The 20,681-nt window shown below is 37.6% G+C and overlaps 1 long non-coding RNA gene across 3 annotated transcripts in view, besides 3 other annotated features; it reads left to right on the top strand.

The window, feature by feature from the left end:
- COMETT (cytosolic oncogenic antisense to MET transcript) overlaps positions 1-18,564 on the top strand; it is a 124,434-nt gene extending 105,870 nt beyond the window's left edge. For 2 of the 3 annotated variants that reach the window (NR_165033.1, NR_120506.2), the window contains exons 3-5: positions 8,414-8,717; positions 10,928-11,040; positions 17,990-18,564. This is a non-coding gene — a long non-coding RNA (cytosolic oncogenic antisense to MET transcript). The remainder of the gene's footprint in view (positions 1-8,413; positions 8,718-10,927; positions 11,041-17,989) is intronic. The other variant, NR_165032.1, reaches the window with a different exon arrangement.
- Positions 578-1,027: a silencer, noted in NCBI's record as "nonconserved region 2 (NR2) negative regulatory element (NRE) in the greater CFTR locus". NCBI's record gives its function as "modestly represses an SV40 promoter coupled to the HS2 beta-globin enhancer in the forward orientation in transfected K562 cells {active_cell/tissue: K562}" and the evidence as "EXISTENCE:reporter gene assay evidence [ECO:0000049][PMID:18436892]".
- Positions 4,551-4,690: a silencer, noted in NCBI's record as "silent region_18559". NCBI's record gives its function as "represses an Ori minimal core promoter by ATAC-STARR-seq in GM12878 lymphoblastoid cells {active_cell/tissue: GM12878}" and the evidence as "EXISTENCE:reporter gene assay evidence [ECO:0000049][PMID:35858748]".
- Positions 4,829-5,123: an enhancer, noted in NCBI's record as "tiled region #6449; HepG2 Activating non-DNase unmatched - State 22:ReprW, and K562 Activating non-DNase unmatched - State 22:ReprW". NCBI's record gives its function as "activates a minimal TATA promoter and a strong SV40 promoter by Sharpr-MPRA in HepG2 and K562 cells {active_cell/tissue: HepG2 | K562}" and the evidence as "EXISTENCE:reporter gene assay evidence [ECO:0000049][PMID:27701403]".

Here is a 20,681-nt window from a genome sequence, read left to right as displayed (position 1 = left end):
ACGATCTTGGCTCACAACAACCTATGCTTCCCGGGTTTAAGTGATCCTCATTCCTCAGCCTACCGAGTAGCTGGGATTATAGGCATGAGCCACCATGCTCGGCCTCTGTGTAGCCTTTTGAGGACCCAAGCTGAGAGATGTTGTGTCCTTTCAACATGGGGTTTTCATGGATGCCCTTGGTCTAGATATCCAGCTGACATATAGAGGAAGAGTGTAGAATCACACATGAGATTTTTATCATCCAGGTCCAGAAATGGAGCACACAATTTCTGCTCAGATTCTAGTGCCAGATCTTAGGCACATGGTCACTGCAAGAAAGGCTGGGAAGTGTTGTCTAGCTGTGTGCCCAGGAGGAAAGGTAAAAGATTTTCATGCATAAACTAGCCAGTCTCTGCCTCAGTGGCCAAAGTCCACTTCTCAGCTTGGCTGGTATTAATGTCAAGACCCTGCTATGTCAAGCACAGGTGCTTTTCTTCCAGGAATTGGGAGTCTTGAAGTCAGATGATGAGTTGTACCTGCTTCTAGGAGAGTCTCTTTAGTTTGAAGAGGCCAGTGGCAGAGACATTGAGAATAGGGTTCAGTCTTCTGGGCATTACTTGGAAGAACCAGGCAGTGTTGCAGGATAGGAAGGTCACAGCCAAATGATCTGGGCCCAAACAGGTTCTGATCCTGGGATAAGCCAGAGAGATCTCAGCAACTCCAAGGCAGAAACTAGGTCATGATTCCTTGGCTAATAAAATCAACTGAGAGAGAAGCTGTAGTCTGGGCTCTGGATAAGTGCTCAGGGACAAATGATCTGGATGTGATGTGTACAGTCAAATTCTAGGCCATACCACCTGACGGAGGGGAATCTCTGTGCTCTGCCAGACTTGGTGGAACTAAGCCTCCACTTTCTTCAACTGTTTGGGGTTGAGGAATGCAGAGTCATACACACCTGTTTTCTTTTTCCTTGAATCTGGTAGACATAGTGGTTGAGTCCCTAAGCCAGAAGTCAGAGAGATCTCAGGAACTTTGTGGCCTGTTCCACCACAGATCTAAACCTGTCTTGGTAATTCCATCACATTTGCTTGGTGAGGTAACTTGGCAACCCGTGAGCCATGAGCCCCAGGTGAATCTGTAATTCTATGATTGTTAAGGAAGTGTGGCTCTACCAGTCCCCTGGTAGATCCCTGGAATTGCTCTACATCTATAAGTAACATCTCCCTTAGGTGGGGCATTTACCCGCACAGGATGTGAAGATGCATTAGATTTGACCATCTCAGCTCAGTGAATCCAAGTAACCATAGATCTTTGGCAGATTTTCTTCCCTGTCATGGTGTCAGGGGCCCAGGGAGCAGGACTGATACAACTCAGTTTCCCTTGCCGGGGCAGAAGTGAGAGGAAGGGTCTAAAGCTGTGGGAATGGCAGTCAGCTGTCCCCTTCCCTTCAGCTTCAGGAAATATGAGGCCAGAAGAGGGAAAGTTCAGAAACTGTGCAGGCACTCATGGCACTGCAGAATTTCAGCCTCACTGCTAAATCTGGGAGGGACAAGAAGCAGGCAAAGTTGGATTATGTGGCTAATAGCATAGAGCCAGGGAAACTAACTTGAGGGGCTTCAAATCTGCTAAAATTAGAATTTTCCTTTTAGATCTGTGCAGACTTTGTTCTTATTACAAAGTGGTGGACATTTTGGAACAACCAAGAAAATTTTATGTGCTCTTCACTTGCTACCAAAACTAGTACTAAAACAATACCTGCTTTTCACCCTCAGATACATCTGGGTCTTTAGTCCAGGAAAGAATCACCTCCAAGGTGAGTGTGAGTGGACAAGGATGTAGAGGATGCCCCCAGCCTTTTGGAGGAGTCTCTGTAGGATCAGGCCACCTGAATAGATGCCCTGAGTGCTCTGTTTATTACCTTTGTTCTTTTCAGTATCTGCATGGTGGGGCCCATAGTCTTTTTTCTCTCTGCAGAACAGTGAAAATTTCTCTGTCTTGCTCTGCCCAGGAGCAGGTAGGCCAGAAGTGCCAGAGAATTAACACTCACCATCTTCACCCCCTGCCCCGGCAGCAGCCTTCAACCAACTTGCCACTTGGAAATAAATACTTGTTCTCTTGCCCCTTGGATGGGATAATTCTGCAGCAGGTGCTGTTTCCCCAAGTTTTCCCACCAACATAACCTGACCATGGTAGCAGACTTAATAGTAACCTTATAGCTCCCTTCCCTTCCTTGTATTGCTTTCCTAGTTCCCGCTGATGATACTCCCTATTCTTCTCAAATTAACTGCTTGTGTGCAAATCCTTGCCTTAGGGCCTACTTCTATGACAAGGCTAACTAGGATGTCACTTTTCCAGAAAATAGCCTGGGCTGCATGAGGGAGTCATTCTGATACTTTAAAAATAATGTTTCCCCAGGCAGATGTTTTGGGATCATGATAACATTTACTCTCAACCTTCCTCCCAAGCTATTCTTGATAGACACATGGAAATTTTCAGAAAACCAAATACCTCATGTTCTCACTTATATGTAGGAGCTAAATGATGAGAACACATGGACACATAAAGGGGAACAACACACACTGAGGCCTTTTGGAGGGCAGGAGGTGGGAGGAGGAAGAGGATCAGGAAAAATGTACTAATGGGTACTAGGCTTAATACCAGGCTGATGAAATAACCTGTAAAACAAACCTCCATGACACAAGTTTACCAACGTAACAAACCTGCAGTTGTAACTGTGAACTTAAAATAAAAGTTAAAAAAAATTGCATTAGAACTTTCTTTTACTTTATTTGAGATCCAAAGAAAATTTATCTCCAAATAAATTGTGGTAGTGGTTTATATATTTTTCAAATATTATTTTTTACTAAGAAATATGCTTTACATTGCAACTCAGTATACATACTCTCATAAACATGAAATGTCTTATTAAACTCATCTGATTACCCTTGCTCTCTGTGATCTATATGTTTCTTTCTCCTCTCTTCTCTTTTATTCTTTTCCATTCTATTCAGTTATATTTTTGTTAATAAATGAAAGCCAATTTCACAATTCTAGAATAGGTGCTATGGTCAAAATGTTTGTGTCCCCCTCAGATTCATATGTTGAACTCCTAACCCCCAAGGTGATGATATTAGGAGGTGGGCACTTTGTGAGAAGATTAGTCATGAGGGTAGAACTCTCCTGAATGGGATTAGTGTCCTTATAAAAAAGGCCTTTCTTGTACCCCTTCCTACCACATGAGGACACAGCAGAAAGACCACCTTCTATGAAGAGGCCCATCGCCAGACACTGAATCTGCTGGTGCCTTGATCTTGGACTTCCCAGCCTCCAGAGCTGTGAGCAATGAAGGTCTGCTGTTTATAAGCCAACCAGCTTGTGATATTTTTGTTATAGTAGTTCAAACAGACTAAGACACTAGGTCAGCACTCACAGTTTGAGCAACACTAGATGAAGGAGACACATATTTCACAACAGGTCCGCCAAACAGGATTCTTAAGGAAAGAATGTTCAAAGAGGAGATTTGCAAAACTATTATTTGTTGTCCTTCACAGCTATCATTGCATAGGGCTGATAGCTATGCAGTGACCTTTGTTGTTAGCAACACAATTTATTACCATCCTCTGCTTCTAGAAGAAAGAAAAAAATCGATACATTGCGGGTACTAGGATGTTTAGGCCTCATGTGTGGATTTCTCCAGGTGTCCCCATTCCAGGGAGTAGAAATGCTGTGGGGTCAAATGGAGCAATGAGGTAATTAGAAGATGGGAGGATCTTGAAGGTTTGAAACAGCACTCCGGGGTTTGCACTTGCTGTTAAGAATGGCTCACGTATGTTTTGGTAGTCTGGGAAGACCAGGAGCAGGCTACGCATAAGCGGTGTGCGCACTACAATTTCACACATGTGTGGTTATCTGTAGCTGGCTCTATGGGTTCACCAGAGCCTTATTTGTTTGGCAGACTTAGAGGAAAGACAATGAAGGAATACACTGGACTCTAAGGTTCAGCCCTATATCTGACAAAAGGCAAGAGTTCAAACCTCTTGGCCATCTGGGGGAGAACTCTTCTGAAGAGAAAACAGTATTATTGTATTTTCAAGTAAATTATTTCATATCCTCTAACACTAATAAAGAAATGTGTGTTTGTGTTTTGGAGGACGTCTTAGCGGTGGATAGTTAACTTGTGAAATAGTCGGCTAGGGAATTCATACTTAGGGATCCTCAGCCAGCATTTGAACGACCCTAATCAGCTGTCCTATTATAGCTTTATCTCCAATGAACACAAAAAAGCCTGTTAGTTAGCATAGGGGATGCTAAAATAAGTTTCCATGGATGAAACGAGTGGTGATTAAGATATGTGAATATGCTGGAAATATTATGTAAGCAATTCCTTCCTTCTGTAAACAACAGGGAGTAAGAATCTGGAGAGAGCTCCACAGCCTACCCTCTTCATAGGGCTCTTCTCGGACCAGGGCTTCATTCAATAGCTCAACAGAGAATCCTGTGGCTCAACTTCTGATCAGAAGTTTAGCTGAAACTTTCACCAGAATACTGATACATCTGCTTTGAGTGGCCGTTTCGCGCATGCTGTTGCCTGGGATTTCACTGCTCTTATTGTGTCAGGTTAGCTAGTTGATTTGAGTATTTGAACATGTGGCATCTTTGGTCAAATGTGCTTTCAATATAACTCATCACCCAGTAATGAGATTGTTGGGGAGGAGGATTATAGTTCTCACCTGTTCCTAGCTGCTGGTGGTGATCAATATCTGCCAGAGTAACTTAAAACTCGTGAACAGCCAAATTTGCTTAAGTCAGGTCTATTCACTTGATCTGAGGTAATTGCTTGAGGGTTAGTTAAGGAGAAACACTGGTTTTTGAACACAACCCTGTGAGTGTAACTGGACTTGTCTCCTACTCAGCCCTCGCAGTTCTATGGGGGTGGGGGCTGTGATAAAGGGTGAGTCACAAAGTCACACAGACCTCCCTATGGTCTGTGTAAAAAATGTGGCATGGAAGGCAGCCCTGCACAGTTATTAAGTGGGCAGGATGATTTTTCTTTCAAACACAGGATGTGAGTAATATTACATTTCTTTCCTTTCTCTAAATAAATTTAATATGCTCCAAGCCTCCAATCGGCCTCACTGGTGCGAAGGTCAAGCTTTGTCTGGATGGTTCTCCTCTTGGTGCCATGTGAATGCCCTGTTATTTGATCCCCAAAGATCATAGCTGACATGCTCAGTGTTCAAAGCTGTACTATTCTTTAAGGATGGAGGCTCTGCTGGTGCTGCCATTGTGGGGCACTAGGGTTATTGCCAAGTCTAGGAGCCCAGTGCTCATGTTCCAGCCTCTTTAGGAACACTAGGTGGCTGTTTCTTGCTGAGATCCCATCACATCTTAGGGCGCTGGAAGGGATCAGAGCACAGGCTCCTAGTGCTGTGGAGTCCCCCTACTTTGGTGTCTTATCAATCTTGGATGCTCTCCAAATTACTTTCTGGTCTTGCTTTTTCCATTCCTTCTATTTCTGAAAGAATCCCATATAATCACTCTTCAGGAAGTGATTTAGAAACACAATGTGAACTCTTCTCCTTGGAGTGGTGGCTGGAAAAATAACATGCCAACACTAGCTACAAACACAGTCCCTACAATGTAACCTACTTATGCTGACAGCCACATTCAGTGAGATAGGTGAGAGGAATCGTTGTAGAATTGTCACTGGAAACTGCCCAGTAAGCGAGATATGACCTTCTGAGATATGAAGTGGCAGAGAGAAAAAATGGAAATCTTCTTAGAGTGGAAGAAAATAATTTTTTGGGCACGTGTATGTCTTTAACTGTGCAAGAAAACATATATTCAATTATTTGTTAATAACAGCACCATTACTATGATAATAGTTATTTAAAATAATTTGAAGTAACGTATTTTAATAATAATCTGTATTTGCTTAGCATTAGATGTTTTCATGCCAGTTATCTCATTTGCTTTTGACAACATCCTGGTAAGGAGGCATGGCACATAGGATTTCCCCATTTTGCCACTAAGAAAAGTCAAGCACTTTGCATGTTAATTGAACCTCAAAGCCAATCAGTTAGTAGACAGTTGAGTGTAGCTAGTACCCAAGTCCATTGGTTTTCCACTTGACTACTCTGCCCTAAGCAGTAAGATGTGGAGTGAAAATATGGCTTATAGATGACTTAATCTTAAGTGGTTACTTTGAAGTACATCTTTCAAGTTAGCCATAAAAGACTTTCCTCACAATATCCAATGAATGACCGAATTGCTTTTCCTGTAGACTACCTATTTAAACTCAACTTGGCCAAGTAAATATTGCATGCTTGCAGCACTCTGCAGCTGAAAGCAGTTTGGCGGGAAGTAGGTTTGTGGAGGGATTAGGTATGTGTAGTCATTCATTCATTTATTCATTCATAAACATTAAAATAGCAACTACTGAAAGCCACACATCAGCCTAGATTCCAGTGCTACTCTTTTTTTTTTTTTTGAGATGGGGTCTCGCTCTGTTTCCCACACTGGAGTGCTGTGGTGCGATCATGGCTCACTAGCCTCGACCTCCCAGACCCGGGTGATCCTCCACAGGCCTGTGCCATCACACCTGGATAATTTACTTTTTTTTTTTTTGTAGAAACTGGGTCTTTCTACATTGCCCAGGCTGGTCTTGAAATCTTGGGCTCAAGTGATCCTCCCGTCTTGGCCTTCCAAAATGTTGGGATTATGGGCGTGAGCCACCACACTTGGCGTCCAGTGCTGCTCTGTCTGACATAGTAGCCATGAGCTACAAGGGGTGATTTTAATTGAAATTAAATCAGAAATGCATTTTTTCACCTCACTAGCCATATTTCAAGCACTCAATTGCCGCAAGTGGCCAATGGCTCTTATTGAATAGTGTTTACATAGACTCTTAAAGGAAGAACATTTCTTTAAGAACTTTCCTTTTCCTAGAACAGAAATAAAGCATTTCCCTTATTGCAGAAAGTTCTGTTGGATAGCAGAGCTGCAGAGTTATAAAGATACAAAGGACTAGACTTGGTCCCTCCATTTTGAGAACTTACAATTATTGCATGCCTATGACAGAACTTAGAATACATCATGGAAATTCTATAACAGGGTATCAGTTTTAGTTTAGCAGATTTTTATTATGCCAGTCACTATGCTAAATCCTATAGATACAATGAAAGCTAAAAATTGGTCTCTGAACCCCAGTAGTTTACAGTTCAGTGGAGATAAGAAAAAAGTGCCTCAAGGCCTTAGGGACCAGAGTAATTCTGCCTGGGAAAGTTACAAGAGGAAAACACAGTCATAAGTATTTCTTCTGCCTTCTCTACCAATGTACATGCCTTGTTTTTTTTTTTTTTGAACAACACAGAAAATACTTTAACAACTGTATCATGTAATAAGTAATTATTATAATTTTGCATTGGCATTCTCAAAGCACTGGGCTCCCTTTGCTCTATTTTATAAATGAGCCTGGACCATAGGATGAGAACTGTGACAACTTCTGAATTCACTTGGCAACATTAATCATAGGGCAGGCAATTAGACCTCATGCCAGTGATGTTTCTCAGTGCAGCCTCACTCCCTACCATGGGCAAAGTGAAGAAGACATTTAAATCTCCTAATGGTCCCACAGTTATAAGGGTGCCCAGTAGTGATCTTTTATTGAAACTTCTGGCAGCAGCTGTTTTGTATTGCTTCTACCTTTAGCATATTTCATTTTAATTGCAAAGATAATAAAATAGTTATATCCTTTACAGTAAGATAACTTATTTAATTTGTGAGTAGTGGTTGTATATTAACTGTGTTTTCTGAAACTTGTATGAAAGGGACATCTATTTATTGACTGAATTACGGGGGTGGGGTTCTGTATTGCTATCTGGGGCTGGGGCCAAGGATTTAACCCTCAGGTTCCTTCCTTGCTGGCATTAATGTTGCTGTATAGGCAGGAAGTTGCCCAGGAGTGAAAGCACAATGCTGCTGAGACAGAAGTCTATTTTAAGCTGGTTTATTTCCTCACTTGAGTGACCTTGGATAGATCTGTCTTCTCCCTGTGCCTCTGTCTTTGTCTCTACAATTGATTCAGATGCAGTATTTATTGTGCATGCGATATGGTTTGAAATTTTTGCAGTCTTAATTGTTAACAGGAGACCAGGCAGTCTAAGCTCTCAATTCGGATTTATTTCTTGTTTCACCAGTGGCTCATTAAGTGACCCTAATGGAGGGACCAGTATTCCTGGCACTTTATTCTTCCCATCTGTAAAATGGGGTTATGAGCATGCCTCCCTTCCTATCTCAGGGGAATACAAGAGCATACATATGTGGGAGAATTTGGGGGATTGGAATTTTATGAATATTTAGATTGTAAACAGACATGTTTATTGGTCTGCCTGTCACAATCCTGTCTCAGATTAACTTCCTCTTCCTTCCACAGCCCCTTGACTGGGCAAACTTCAAACAAGTGACTGAGCTCCCTTAGCTGCCACTGATTGGACCAGGATGGACAACAAATGTAGGAGGAGTTCATCTGGATCTAGCCTGAGCCAGTCAGATATCCCCTTTGAATCCATGCCTATAGAAATACAAAAAAATGGAAGCCAGAGGATGATGGATCCTTGAAGTAATAAGTCAGGTAGATCTTGAAAATTTTTGACTCAATCCATATTGATGAACACAAGAATAATTCTGGTCTACAAAGAGAGGCAAGAGAAAGACTTGGGGTGTATTAAGAAAAACAGGTAAGTGACCCTGGGTCACTAGAAAGAGTGAGACAGGGTGATGGAATGAGTGGCTGCCTGAAACTTTCTAATGCATTCAAGGCCTGACTCTGTTTTAGGCATTCTTCACATTTTCATTCACACCACACTCTAATGAGGTAGGAAACGTTATAGCTGCTGGTTTAGAGAATGCAGTCCGGCTATGGGACTTATCCAAGGTCACACAACTGTTTTTAAGTTGGCTGAGGATTTGATTATAGATTTCTACTTCTAAGTTTAAAGTTTTTTCTGCTACACAATGGCCTATTATTTAAGGTTGAAGCTTGAAAGAGAAATAAGAAGATCTAAAGAAACTGTTCTGGTCCAATGAAGATACCAAAGGCTGATATTTTACTTGAATGTGATTGAGTAATATTAGACATCATCCCTGATATTAGTCCCAATGCCAGTAACCTCACCATTAAATTCATCTCTTCCTCTGGAATTGAATGACACTACCACTTTTTTTCCTACTCATCCCACTCAAGTAATTTTTCATTTCTGTTGGACCAAGAGTGTGAGAGTTTACAAGGCTATCATATATTTTAATTGGTATTTACTCATGTTTCTGATAGATATTTTCTGTTTGGTCATCTGCTCTGTGAAGCCTGCATCTTCAAAAGTTATTATTAGAACACATTTTAGTGATAATTACAAAAGCAAGCATCAACATTTCATTTAAGATCTAAGTTGGTATAAAGTATGTATTTATTTCACCAAGTCAATCAAAGGTTTTCAAATTTTCTTTGTGATAGAACTGCTTAGTCAAACAAAATGTTATGCTGAAAATTAACATGAAAAGAAATTAAAACAGAACTTGTGTGTTTGAGGGAAAGTGGTAGACACCATTTCACAGACCTCTGTCCCTAATCCACCTCTGTTATCTTAGGGGAGCTGGTCAATACCTCGGGATTCAATAAGGTACAGTTTTAAAGCCACTGTATTAAACTGTACAATTGATTGTCAATAATTTTTATTTTACAAAAAGTTATTTTCTCAACAGAAAAAGAGCAAAATATTAATTTCATCTTGGAGTTGCCTTTGTAGGGGCTTCACTGAGCTTCCATGAAGACAAAGACCTTTGTCTTGCTTATCTTTTTAATCCCTGTGATACCAAATAGTTGCTCCATAAATGCCTGTTGAAGCAGTAACATGAACAATTATTAACAGAAACTTAGACTAGAGAATACATTATTTGCATGGCTTTTAATCATTCACTCTTCTTTTTTTCCCATTGATGACACACAATGCTATTGTAATACTGTCAAATGGTGTCACACGCGCTTTCTCCCAAGCACATAGTGAGTTTCTCTATAAGAATAGCTTTGAAGCTAATAGTCGTGGGTATTAAACTCATTGGGCAACCTGGAGTTGGTTATTTAACCATTCTAAACTTCTATTTCTTGATCTCTAAAACAGAGCAATAGTATCTACTTGACCTAGATAATAATACATAGCACATAGGGCTGTTGTCAGTAATATTTGCAAAATGCTTAGCACATTCTCTTGTATGTGGTATGTGCTCAATAAATAAAGGCTATTATTATTTAGCAGGCAATATGAAAGGCAACGAGACAAACAACACAATCACTGTAAAAATGCAAAGTCACTCTGAAGCCAATTTATATTAATCAAAGTGCATATTGTGCTATGTACTTTACTGAGTGCTTACTTGTGTCATACAGTCAACAGAACTTTCTGTCTCAGAGTTGGCAGGTAATTAAATCTCACCTTTTCCAAGAGGTTGTGCAATGTGATGGGGAATTTAAGAAACATCCTCTCAAAAAGACGTTGACTGTTGCCTGGGATAGTTATTATCTCATTAATGGTTGGCATTATATTAATACAACTGAAGGAGAGGAGTAGGTTTCTTTCTTGGCCATTTGTAGAGTGGCTCAAACTGGCAGCTGTTGCTTTTTTAAAAAAATGACTGCATTTTTCTCGTTGCAAATACCCCACCTTTTATGCCAGTTTCCACATGCTTTTCAGTTGTGTTGTTAAAGTACTAGGCAAGTGTATAGTTTTATCTTTTTGACACGCAAATTACTCAACTTTCTATGGAATCAAATCTCTCATTCTAGTTGATTTTATTCACTTTCTCCCTGTCTAACTCTTCCCACTCCTCTCTCATCACAATAAAAAAATCCCTACTTCCTTACTTGCAACTTTCTTTTTTTTTTTTTCTTTTCTAGCTCTGTGGAAGTTTGAGTGACTCATTGCAGAGAGGAATTGATGAAGTCAACAGCTGCTGGAAAAACTTCTTTTTCCTTAATAGCTGTATCAACATGTGGTTGCTATTATTCAAGTAAGAAAAATATGTATATCAAACATCCATGGTAGTCCTTGCTAAAATTTTCATTAGAGAGACTCATGTTTTGACATTAAAAAAAGTTCAAATGGGTACCTTAGAGGATGTTTTGTTGGAGAACAAAATCATGGAGAAATAAAGTCTAAAAAGAAAAATAAATGGCAAGCATGTTGTTAATAATGCTGTAATTTATTTCAGAGTGGGTTGGGTGATTTTCTTCATGGCATTATTAGTGGCACTGCAGAAATTTGGCACCTCATGCATTCATAGTCTCCAGGATGGTCTGACCATTCATCCAACAAATATTAATTGCTCTCATGGTAAAATCTCTGCCTCATGGAGTTTAAATCCTAAAAGTGGTGAAAAACTAAACACTGTGAACAGTTAATTACTCAATATGGTATGTACTGTGAAGGAAGTAGGCAAGAAGCTAAGATAGAGATTAAGATAAAAGGACTTGCTTCACTTAGGGAAGACATGGGAGACCTCTCTGAGGGTTGACATTGAGGCTGAGACCTAAAGAATGAGAAGGAGGTAGCAAAGTAGAGAGAATGGTGTAAGATCATCTTGGTCAGAAGGAGCAGCTGTGCAAAGTCCTCTGACTTTGAGAGGGACCATAGCATGTTCTTGGGACTGAAGGAACATCAGTGTGTCTAGAGCACAGATCATGAGGAGGTTGTGGTATGCAATTAGATTGGAGAGATAGGCAGGAGCTGAATCAGATAACTTTGTAGGCCTTGGTAAAGAGATGTGATTTTATGAATGCATTTTACTGAATGCAGTGAGAAAATACTAGAGGATTTTAAGTTCTGTGTGTGTGTATGTGTGTGTACCTCTGTGAAAATATGTGTTGCTGTAGAGCAAAGTGGCCAAATGAGTTGGGTGGGGTTAAGGGTGGAAACAGGTAGACTGCCTAAAGTAGACCAGGATTTAAATTATGGCTGCTCATACTGAGGTTGTGGCAGTGGAATCGAGGCAGGGGTGCAAAAGCAAGATATATTTTGAAGAAGGAACTGATAGAATCTGGTAATGAATTGGCTATAGGTCTTGAGGAAAAGAAAAGTCTCTGGGGACTCATAGGTTTTAAGCTTGGGTAGCTATGTGGATGATTGAACAATTAAAAATGATGTAGAATATTTGGCAGGGTGGAGGAAGCATGAGTAATACAGTTTTTATCTATGAGACAGCCACGGAAGATGAGAGAATCTGGAGAGAACATGCACAGAGAGACAAGAAGAGGGCTTAGGATGGAGCCTTGGGCTATTTCTTCATTTATGGGTTGGGTAGAGGACATCTGAGGAGTAAACGATCTCAAAAGCAGAATAACAAACTGGATGACGAACACCCCTGGGAGCAGATATATTAGAACAAAAGGACCAATAATTTATATCTTCTTAAATAAACATCCTAATTGAGAAAAAGAAATGTATTAGCAACATGAACCAAGACAAGAAATTCCCCCCACAAAAAAAAGCCATGTAAAATATCAGGATAAAAATGTAGACTTGAAGGAACCTAATAGGTGGGATAAATAGTGACATAGCTACAGCTAAAGAATGATGGAGTTGAAAGACCAGATGGAAGAATGCTTCTAGAATGATAGAAAATGTAAAAGTTCATAGCCAGAGATAATAGAAGTACCAGGTTTTAGATACTTAGAGTCCCTGAAGGAAAAATTATAAAAATTAAAAGAGGAAAATATTTAAAGAAATGTGAAGAACATTTTCAAAAGAAAGAACAGCTACAGATTGAAATGGTCTTTAGAGAACCACTTCATGGGAAATATATATTAAAAATATTAAGTAAATATATATTTTAAAAATTCACACACAGGTCCATTATATTGAGATTTAAGAATATCATAGGCAAAGAGAAAATGATAAATGACACAAATGACATCGGAGTTTTCAATAAATGCAGAATTCCAGAGGCAATGGAGTAATTTTTAAAAAATACTTAAGAAAATAAATTTGAAGGTAGAATTTTACAATTAATAAATTTGTATTTCAAACATGTGATGACAATAAAAATATTCTCAGGCATACAAGTCCTTTTTACCATAAAAAGGACTACCATTGAAAAGATATTTTAACATAAGTGCTCCAAAAGAGAAAGAGAAGAAAAAATATCAAGAAAAAAAAGAACTATATCCAAAATACCACAGAATTAAAGCTCTATATGGTGTCAATATGATTGGCAACCCTGGTGGGGGGAAGACCAAAAGTAATGAACATATACTAAAAATCTTGTCTAGTTAGAGGGTGTATATACACAAACATATATATATATATATATATAATATACTGTATATATATTAATTACTTTAAATAAGAAAGTATTAAAAAGAAACAAAAAATAGAATACTTGCAATAAAATGTAAGAAAATAGAAGAAAAGAAAAATGTATCAACAATCACCATGAATATAAATAGACCCAATGTGCCAGTTAAAGAATAGACCATCAGATTGGATAAAAAACAAAATCCAACCCTGTGCTGTTTATAAAAGACTCTCATAAAGCATAAGAACATGGAAACCTTATAGGCATACAGTCTAAGAGATACCATTCACATGACAGTCTCTCTAAATGGCATTACCTAGAGCTGGGTAGTGTACTGCTGATATTGCTAGTGCATGACAGCCCTCAGAGTAAAAGATTGGACCTAAATACATCAGGAAGATGTTTATCTTTTATTTTATTTTATTTTATTTTTTTGAGATGGAGTCTTGTGATCTCGGCTCACTGCAACCTCTGCCTCCCGGGTTCAAGCGATTCTCTTGCCTCAGCTTCCCCAGTAGCTGGGATTACAGGTGCCCACCACCATGTCTGGCTAATTTTTTTAGTTTTAGTAGAGACAGGGTTTTACCATGTTGTCCAGGCTGGTCTCGAACTCCTGACCTCAGGTGATCCACCTGCCTCGACCTCCCAAAGTGCTGGGATTACAGGCGTGAGCACCGCGCCCAGCCAGGAAAGTGCTTAAGTAAGCAGGTATGACTGTGTAAGTTTTTAGCAAAATAAACTTTATGACAAAACAATAATTAAAGATAGGAAGACTCACTACCTAACCATAAAAGGTATGTAGAACCAACATATCTGTAAGATAGAATATTTCTAAACAGGTATGCACTGAATAGAGTAGCTTGAAATGTATATAAAGCAAACAATTATAAATCCATTAGGAGGGACCGATAGTCTAGTCTTCTCATTTAAGAAACGGACTAGACAAAAAAGTCATTAAAATATTGAAAATCTGAACAACAAAACATAAGGCTGATATAATAGACATATATTGAATTCTGCATCTAAAAATTAGAGGATGCTTATTCCTCTGAAGCATACATTAAATATTTATAAAAATTTATCATGGACCTGACCATAAAATGTCTTAATACATTTCAAAAACAAGTATATTTAGATCATATTTTATCCAAAAATAGAGCTAGAAATTAAAACGAAAACTAATTTAAGAAATTTTATATATTTGGCAATTAAAAAACGTAACATTTGTCAAAAGTCATTGAACTGTAGTTAGGATATATGTATTTCACTTTAATGTTAATTATGCCTCAATATTAAGTCAATTGCTTGTCTAAAGACAGTCAACAATTAGCAAATATGTACTAAAATAGTCACTAGGCATAATAATTATCATACTTAGAATAAATAAATCATAAAACATGAAAAAACTCTACATAGAACATTATGAAACTTTACTGAAAATGCTTATAAAGAAATAAATGAAATTTTACTTCCATGTTTAGAGCTAGGAAGCCTTGGTATCATACACATGCCAATTTTCCAACTTGATCTAAAGATTCAATTCAATTCCAATTGATATTCCAAGTGAGTTTTTATTAAAAATGGATGAGACAATTTTAAGTTTTTCTGGAAAATTAAATGGCAAAAACAAACAAACAAACAAACAAACAAAACCAAGGCCCTTAGAAAGTAAGGAGCAAAGAAAACAGGAAATTAAAACTTGTCTTACAAGATTTGGAGACTCACTTTAAAATGCTATATGAGTACAGGAAAAACAAACTGACCAGTGGGCTAGAATAGAGAGTTCAGAAATCAATCCAAGTATGAATGGAACTTCAATAAATAACAGAGGTGGCATTATAGTTTAAAGGAGAAAGGAGGACATTTTCAATTAATGAAACTAGCATAAATGGTTGTCTTATTCAGAAAAAAATGAAATTGGATTCCTACATCATGCAACACAAACAAATCAACTCCATGTAACTGGATTAAGGACTTAAATGTTAAAAGCAAATATTTAATGTGATTGAACATATTGCAAAATATTTTTATGCTAGAAAAACCTAAGATATTTAAACTCTTAAACCACAGTAATGCTAGTTAAAATACAATAAATATCTTACTGATCTTGGCAGGAAAATATCTCTTTGACATTATAAAAAGTACTAAAAATAAAAAATGGATAAATATGAACACTAAAGTCAAAATACTTGTGTTCACTAATAGACATTTTAATAATGAAAGTGAAAATAAGGATACAAATTGAGAAAAATATTTGAAACATATGTAAAAATAAAATGAAAACATTAAGAATCGGTAAGAATTCCTATGACTCAGTGAAAAAAAAAATCATTTTTAAAAAACCCTTGCTGAATGACATGTCATTTCACAGAAGAAGCTCATATGACCAAAAACCAGTGAAGGGACGCTTAACCTCATTGGTAATCAGAAAGGTATAAATCAAGACTAAAATAAGATACTATTTCACACCCACTTGATTAGCAAAATTGAAGAAGTTTGACAGTTCAAAATGCTGGTGGCAGTGTAAATTGCTATTATTAATTTGAAAAGCCATTGGTCATATCTAGAAAAGCTGGGGGTGTATCATTTTTTGGGACTGAACAATTCAGTCCTAATGATAATCCCTAGAGGAATTTATGCCCACAAACCCTCCCAGTGGACATGCAGAAGTATGATTATAGCAGCACCATTGGCATACCATGTCCCCCTCAAGAGGCAGCTGGATAAAAATGGATATGTTCATGGAACAGACAAATATATAGCACTGAAAATGAATGACTTAGAGCTATATTCAACAATATGAATGAATCTTAAGTGAAAAAAAAAAAAATCAAACACCAGAACGATCCATTCTGCATGGTACTCCTTAGAAATATTTTAAAAAGAACTAAAACTAAATAGGTTTTTTTTTTCCCCTGGGAGATTGTATTTAAAATTTTTTAATAGGCAAAAAGATAATAAATAACAAAATTTAAGAGAATGGTTACCTCATATGGATGCAGGGGTACAGGTGGATGGGAAAGAGAAGGAACAAATGTGTAGTTGTTAGTTCTAGTTCTTTGATTTGATGATGAATTCATAGGTGTTAATTAATGATCATTAAATAATAAAATAAATAAAATCAAATAGAAGAGAGCCCCTCATGGACCAATGATGACATTAACTATTGAGCATGCCTATGCTTACGTCTGGGTACCAGAAATAAAAATTGTTTAAAAAACCTGTTCAGCTGGGCGCCGTTGTATGTGCCTGTAGCTTCAGCTTCTCAGGAGGCTGAGGTGAGTGGATTGCTTGAGCCCCTGTGTTCAAGACCAGATGGGGCAACTTATCAAGACTCAGAAAAAAAAAAAACAAACCCAAAAACCCCAAAACCTCTTTGGCTTAAAAGTATAATTATAGGTAGGGTAATTTAATAGTGTTTAGACAATGTATATAAATAATTCTTTTGTTAATTTTGGCTGTAAAAGAAAGGAGAAAAAATATTGATGGTTGGAGGAGGTTACAAGGTTAAGGGAGGGAATGTGTTTTTTTAAAATTATAAAGTTATACGCGATGTTTGGAGGGTAATGAGAGCAATTCAGAGCAAAGGGAGAGATAGATAGTAAAAGAGTTAAACAAGATGACAAATGGAGCAAAGATCTTGTGAAAATAAGAAAGGATGAGATTCAGAGCGCATGTGATGGGAATGGCTTTTGCTCAGAGTAGGGAATCATCCATTTTAGTGAAAGAGAAAAATAAGATGAGAGCAAGTATTAGTAGGATTGGTGTGCATTGGGGAAGTGGAGAGAGTTTGCATTGATGGTAAGTTGAGTAATGCACAACGTCTTGAGATTCATTATTACTAAAGCAACTGGCAGATCTGAGAATGAATATGAAAGTCAAATAAATGAATGGAGAGTCCTAAAGAAAAAAAATCTTGAATCTTAATGGTAAAATGGTTCTATCAGTTACTTGATAGAACCTAATCTGAGTCCATGGAGATTATTTAATATTTGTCAAATAATATAAATATTAGAGTTTATTTCAAAAAGTGTGTTTCTTTCCATCATTAAAATCTCTGTCTTGCAGTCTGTACATCAACTTATCACTTAGTCATTTTATGGTCTTGAAAGTCACTAAACTAAAATGTGACTGAATATATCCTATTATGAAACATTTTTTATGTCGTAAAAACTTATATGTAAATGCTTAAATAAAAGATTTTGTTAAATTTTTGGGAGCAGTTTTAATTTTATATTTTAGACTTAAAATGTTTTAATTTGCATTTTAATTGTCTCCCATATTGTTGACCATTACTTGTTCTCAGTAGAGACACAACTTGCTTTCTGTTTTGCGGGATTCCCTCTAACTATATGATTTGGTGCCATAGTTAAGCTCCTAGATTCTGGAGCCAGACTCCATGGGTTCATAATCCTGACTTAGTTACTAGCTGTGTGACTCTGAGCGAGTTATTTGACTCTTCTGTGCCTCGATTTCTTACTCTGTAAAATTGGAATGATAATGATAATACATACCATATAGGGTTATTGCAAATATTACATAAACTAATACATTTATAAAGGATACACTTGACATACGAAGTTGAATACAAGTTTTAACTATTACTTAACTTCTGCTAATATTTACTCCAGTTCTGCTCACATTACTTGCTTATTATACATTTCAGAGTGGATGAAATAATTCTGCAAGCCAGTGGGAACAGGAAGCTTCATGAAGAGGAGAAAGGCTTAGGGCTCAGAAACCGCACAGAGCAGGAGGATAGATGAATGTAAGGAACAGAGCTTTGAGGACAGACACCCCTGGATTAGACAATAGCTCCAAAACTTATTAATGATGGTGAATGGGTGACTTTCTAAAACCCTTTAAACCTTATTTGTAAAATGGGACCATCAATATCTATTTTGAAATCTTGTATAAATTTGCAATAATGTCTGTAAAGTATCTGACAGGAGCTCAGAAATGACACAATTCTTTAAATCCACTCACACCCAACTTTTAAACAAAAAGTAGCAGTATATCCTACACACGATTTTTAAATTTTACTATTTAAGTTAACATCATGCTATGAACATATTTCCATGTCATTAAATATTCTATTCCATCCAATATTTAAAAGCTAATAGAAGTCTGTTAAATGCATATGCCATAATTTATTTAACCAATTCGGTTGTTTTAATATTTATGTTGTTTCCAATATATTATGCTATTGACAATAAAATGATGAACATTTATGATGATGAACCTTGGTATTGCCTCTATTATTTTTATTTAGTAAGAGGAATTGCGGGATATATCATGTGTACATTTAATTGTCTTCCAAATGGTTTATACCAGTTACCCTCACAGATGCAATAAATGAGTGTGCCCACTCGCCTGCATCTTCACCAGCATGGACATTACTTTTGTTTACCGTCTCTGCAGACTTAAGTGAAAATGATGTCTCATTGCTTTAACTCTTACTACTTCTTTACTAATGAGTATAAGTTTTTGCATAATTGTTGTGTACTTCTTTTTGTGAACTATCTTGGCTTATTATTCATCTTTTTCTTAATTTATGAAAGCTCTGTTTATTTTTAGGTATATTATAATGCTATGCATTCAAATGCTTTCTGTTATCAGTCTTTATCATTTGTTTGTATTTGTTTCTACTGTTTTTGACATATAGAAGTTTGATATTTTGTGTGTTTATTGCCATGACCTTTTTATTTTATGATTTCAGCCTTCTGTGTTAAGAGTGTCTCTCTTTACTTCTCCCCTCCACCCAATGTTAAAAATATGGATTATAAATTAAAACATAGAATGCTTGACCATTAGCACCCACATCAGGGAAGGTATGAGACCTACCTTCCTTCCTTCCTTCCTTCCTTCCTTCCTTCCTTCCTTCCTTCCTTCCTCTTTCTTTCTCTTCCTTCCTCTTCCTTCCTTCCTCTTTCTCTTCCTTCCTCTTTCTTTCTCTCTTTTCTTTCTTTTTCTTTCTTTCTTTCTCTCTTTCTTTCTTCCTTTCTTTCTTTCTTTTCTTTCTTTCTTTTTCTTTCTTTCTTTCTTCCTTTCCTTTCTTTCCTTTCCTTTCTTTTCTTTTTTCTGATGGTCTCACTACGTTGTCAAGGCTGGTCTGAACTCCTGGCCTCAATTGATCCCCCAGTCTCAGCCTTGGGCTTCCAAACTGCTAGGACTACAGGCTAAATGTGTGATGTATGAAGCTATTTATTACCAATATGGAATAAAAGTTGTCCAAAGCCATATAGTTATTTTTGTAGATGGAACTGGAAGCTGTGATGATTGACTTTTTGTGTCAACTTGACTGGGTCATGGGGTGTCCATATGTTTGGTCACATATTATTCTGAACGTTTCTTTGAGGGTGCTTTTGGATAAGATTAACATTTAAACTGATAGACGGAGTAAGGCAGATTGCCCTCCCTAATCTGGGTGGGCCTCATCTAATCAGTTGAAGGCTTGCATAGAATAAGCTGACCCTGACCCTGACCACCAACTAAGAGAGAATTCCTTCTGCTTGACTGCCTTCAAACTGGAACATTGAATTTTTTTCCTGCCTTTGGACTTGGTCTAAAATAGCAGCTTTTCCTGGCTCTTGAGCCTGCTGATGTTGGACTGGAACTACATCATCAGCTCTCCTGGGTTCCCAGCTTGCTGACTCACCCTGCAGATTTGGGAACTTGTCAGCCTCCATAATCGTGTAAGCCAGTTCCTTGTAATAAAGCTCTTGCTCTGTATCTCTATCATCTCCATCTATCTCTATCTCTACCCCTGTCATCTCCATCTATATCTTTATCCCTCCATCTACCTCTTTCTCATCATCTCCATCTATCTCTATCTGTAGCTCCATCTCTATATATCTCTATTTCTATCTGTCTCTATATATCTCTATCTCTATCTCCATCTATCTCTATCTCTATTTCTATCTCTGTGTCTATCTGTCCCTATATATCTCTATCTCCATCTCTCTCTCTATATATATATTTTCATCTCTCTATCTCCATCTCCATGTCCATCTCTATCTCTATCTTCATCTCTCTATCTTTATCATCTCTATTCTATCTATCTATGTATCTATCATCTATCTATCATCTATCTATCATCTGTCTATCTATCTATCTATCTATCATCTATCTATCTATCATCTATCATCTATCTATCTATCTCCAACTATCTCCTATTGGTTTTGTTTCTCTGGAGAACCCTAATATAGGAGTCCTGAAGGTAAACTTAGCCAAGCAACAAACATAAATTGAGACTGCAATATACCTCTTTAAAACCCAGTTAAGGCATGGCAAAGTTGAAGGCATTGGCCCCGAATGCAAATTGTGTCTTTCGCTAAGTTAAGAGTATTAATATCCAT

This window comes from Homo sapiens, chromosome 7 (assembly GCF_000001405.40).
Source record: "Homo sapiens chromosome 7, GRCh38.p14 Primary Assembly".
Taxonomy (NCBI): Eukaryota; Metazoa; Chordata; class Mammalia; order Primates; family Hominidae; genus Homo; species Homo sapiens.
The sequence above is the reverse complement of the archived record's forward strand: the minus strand, read 5'-3'. Positions and strand labels throughout refer to the sequence as shown.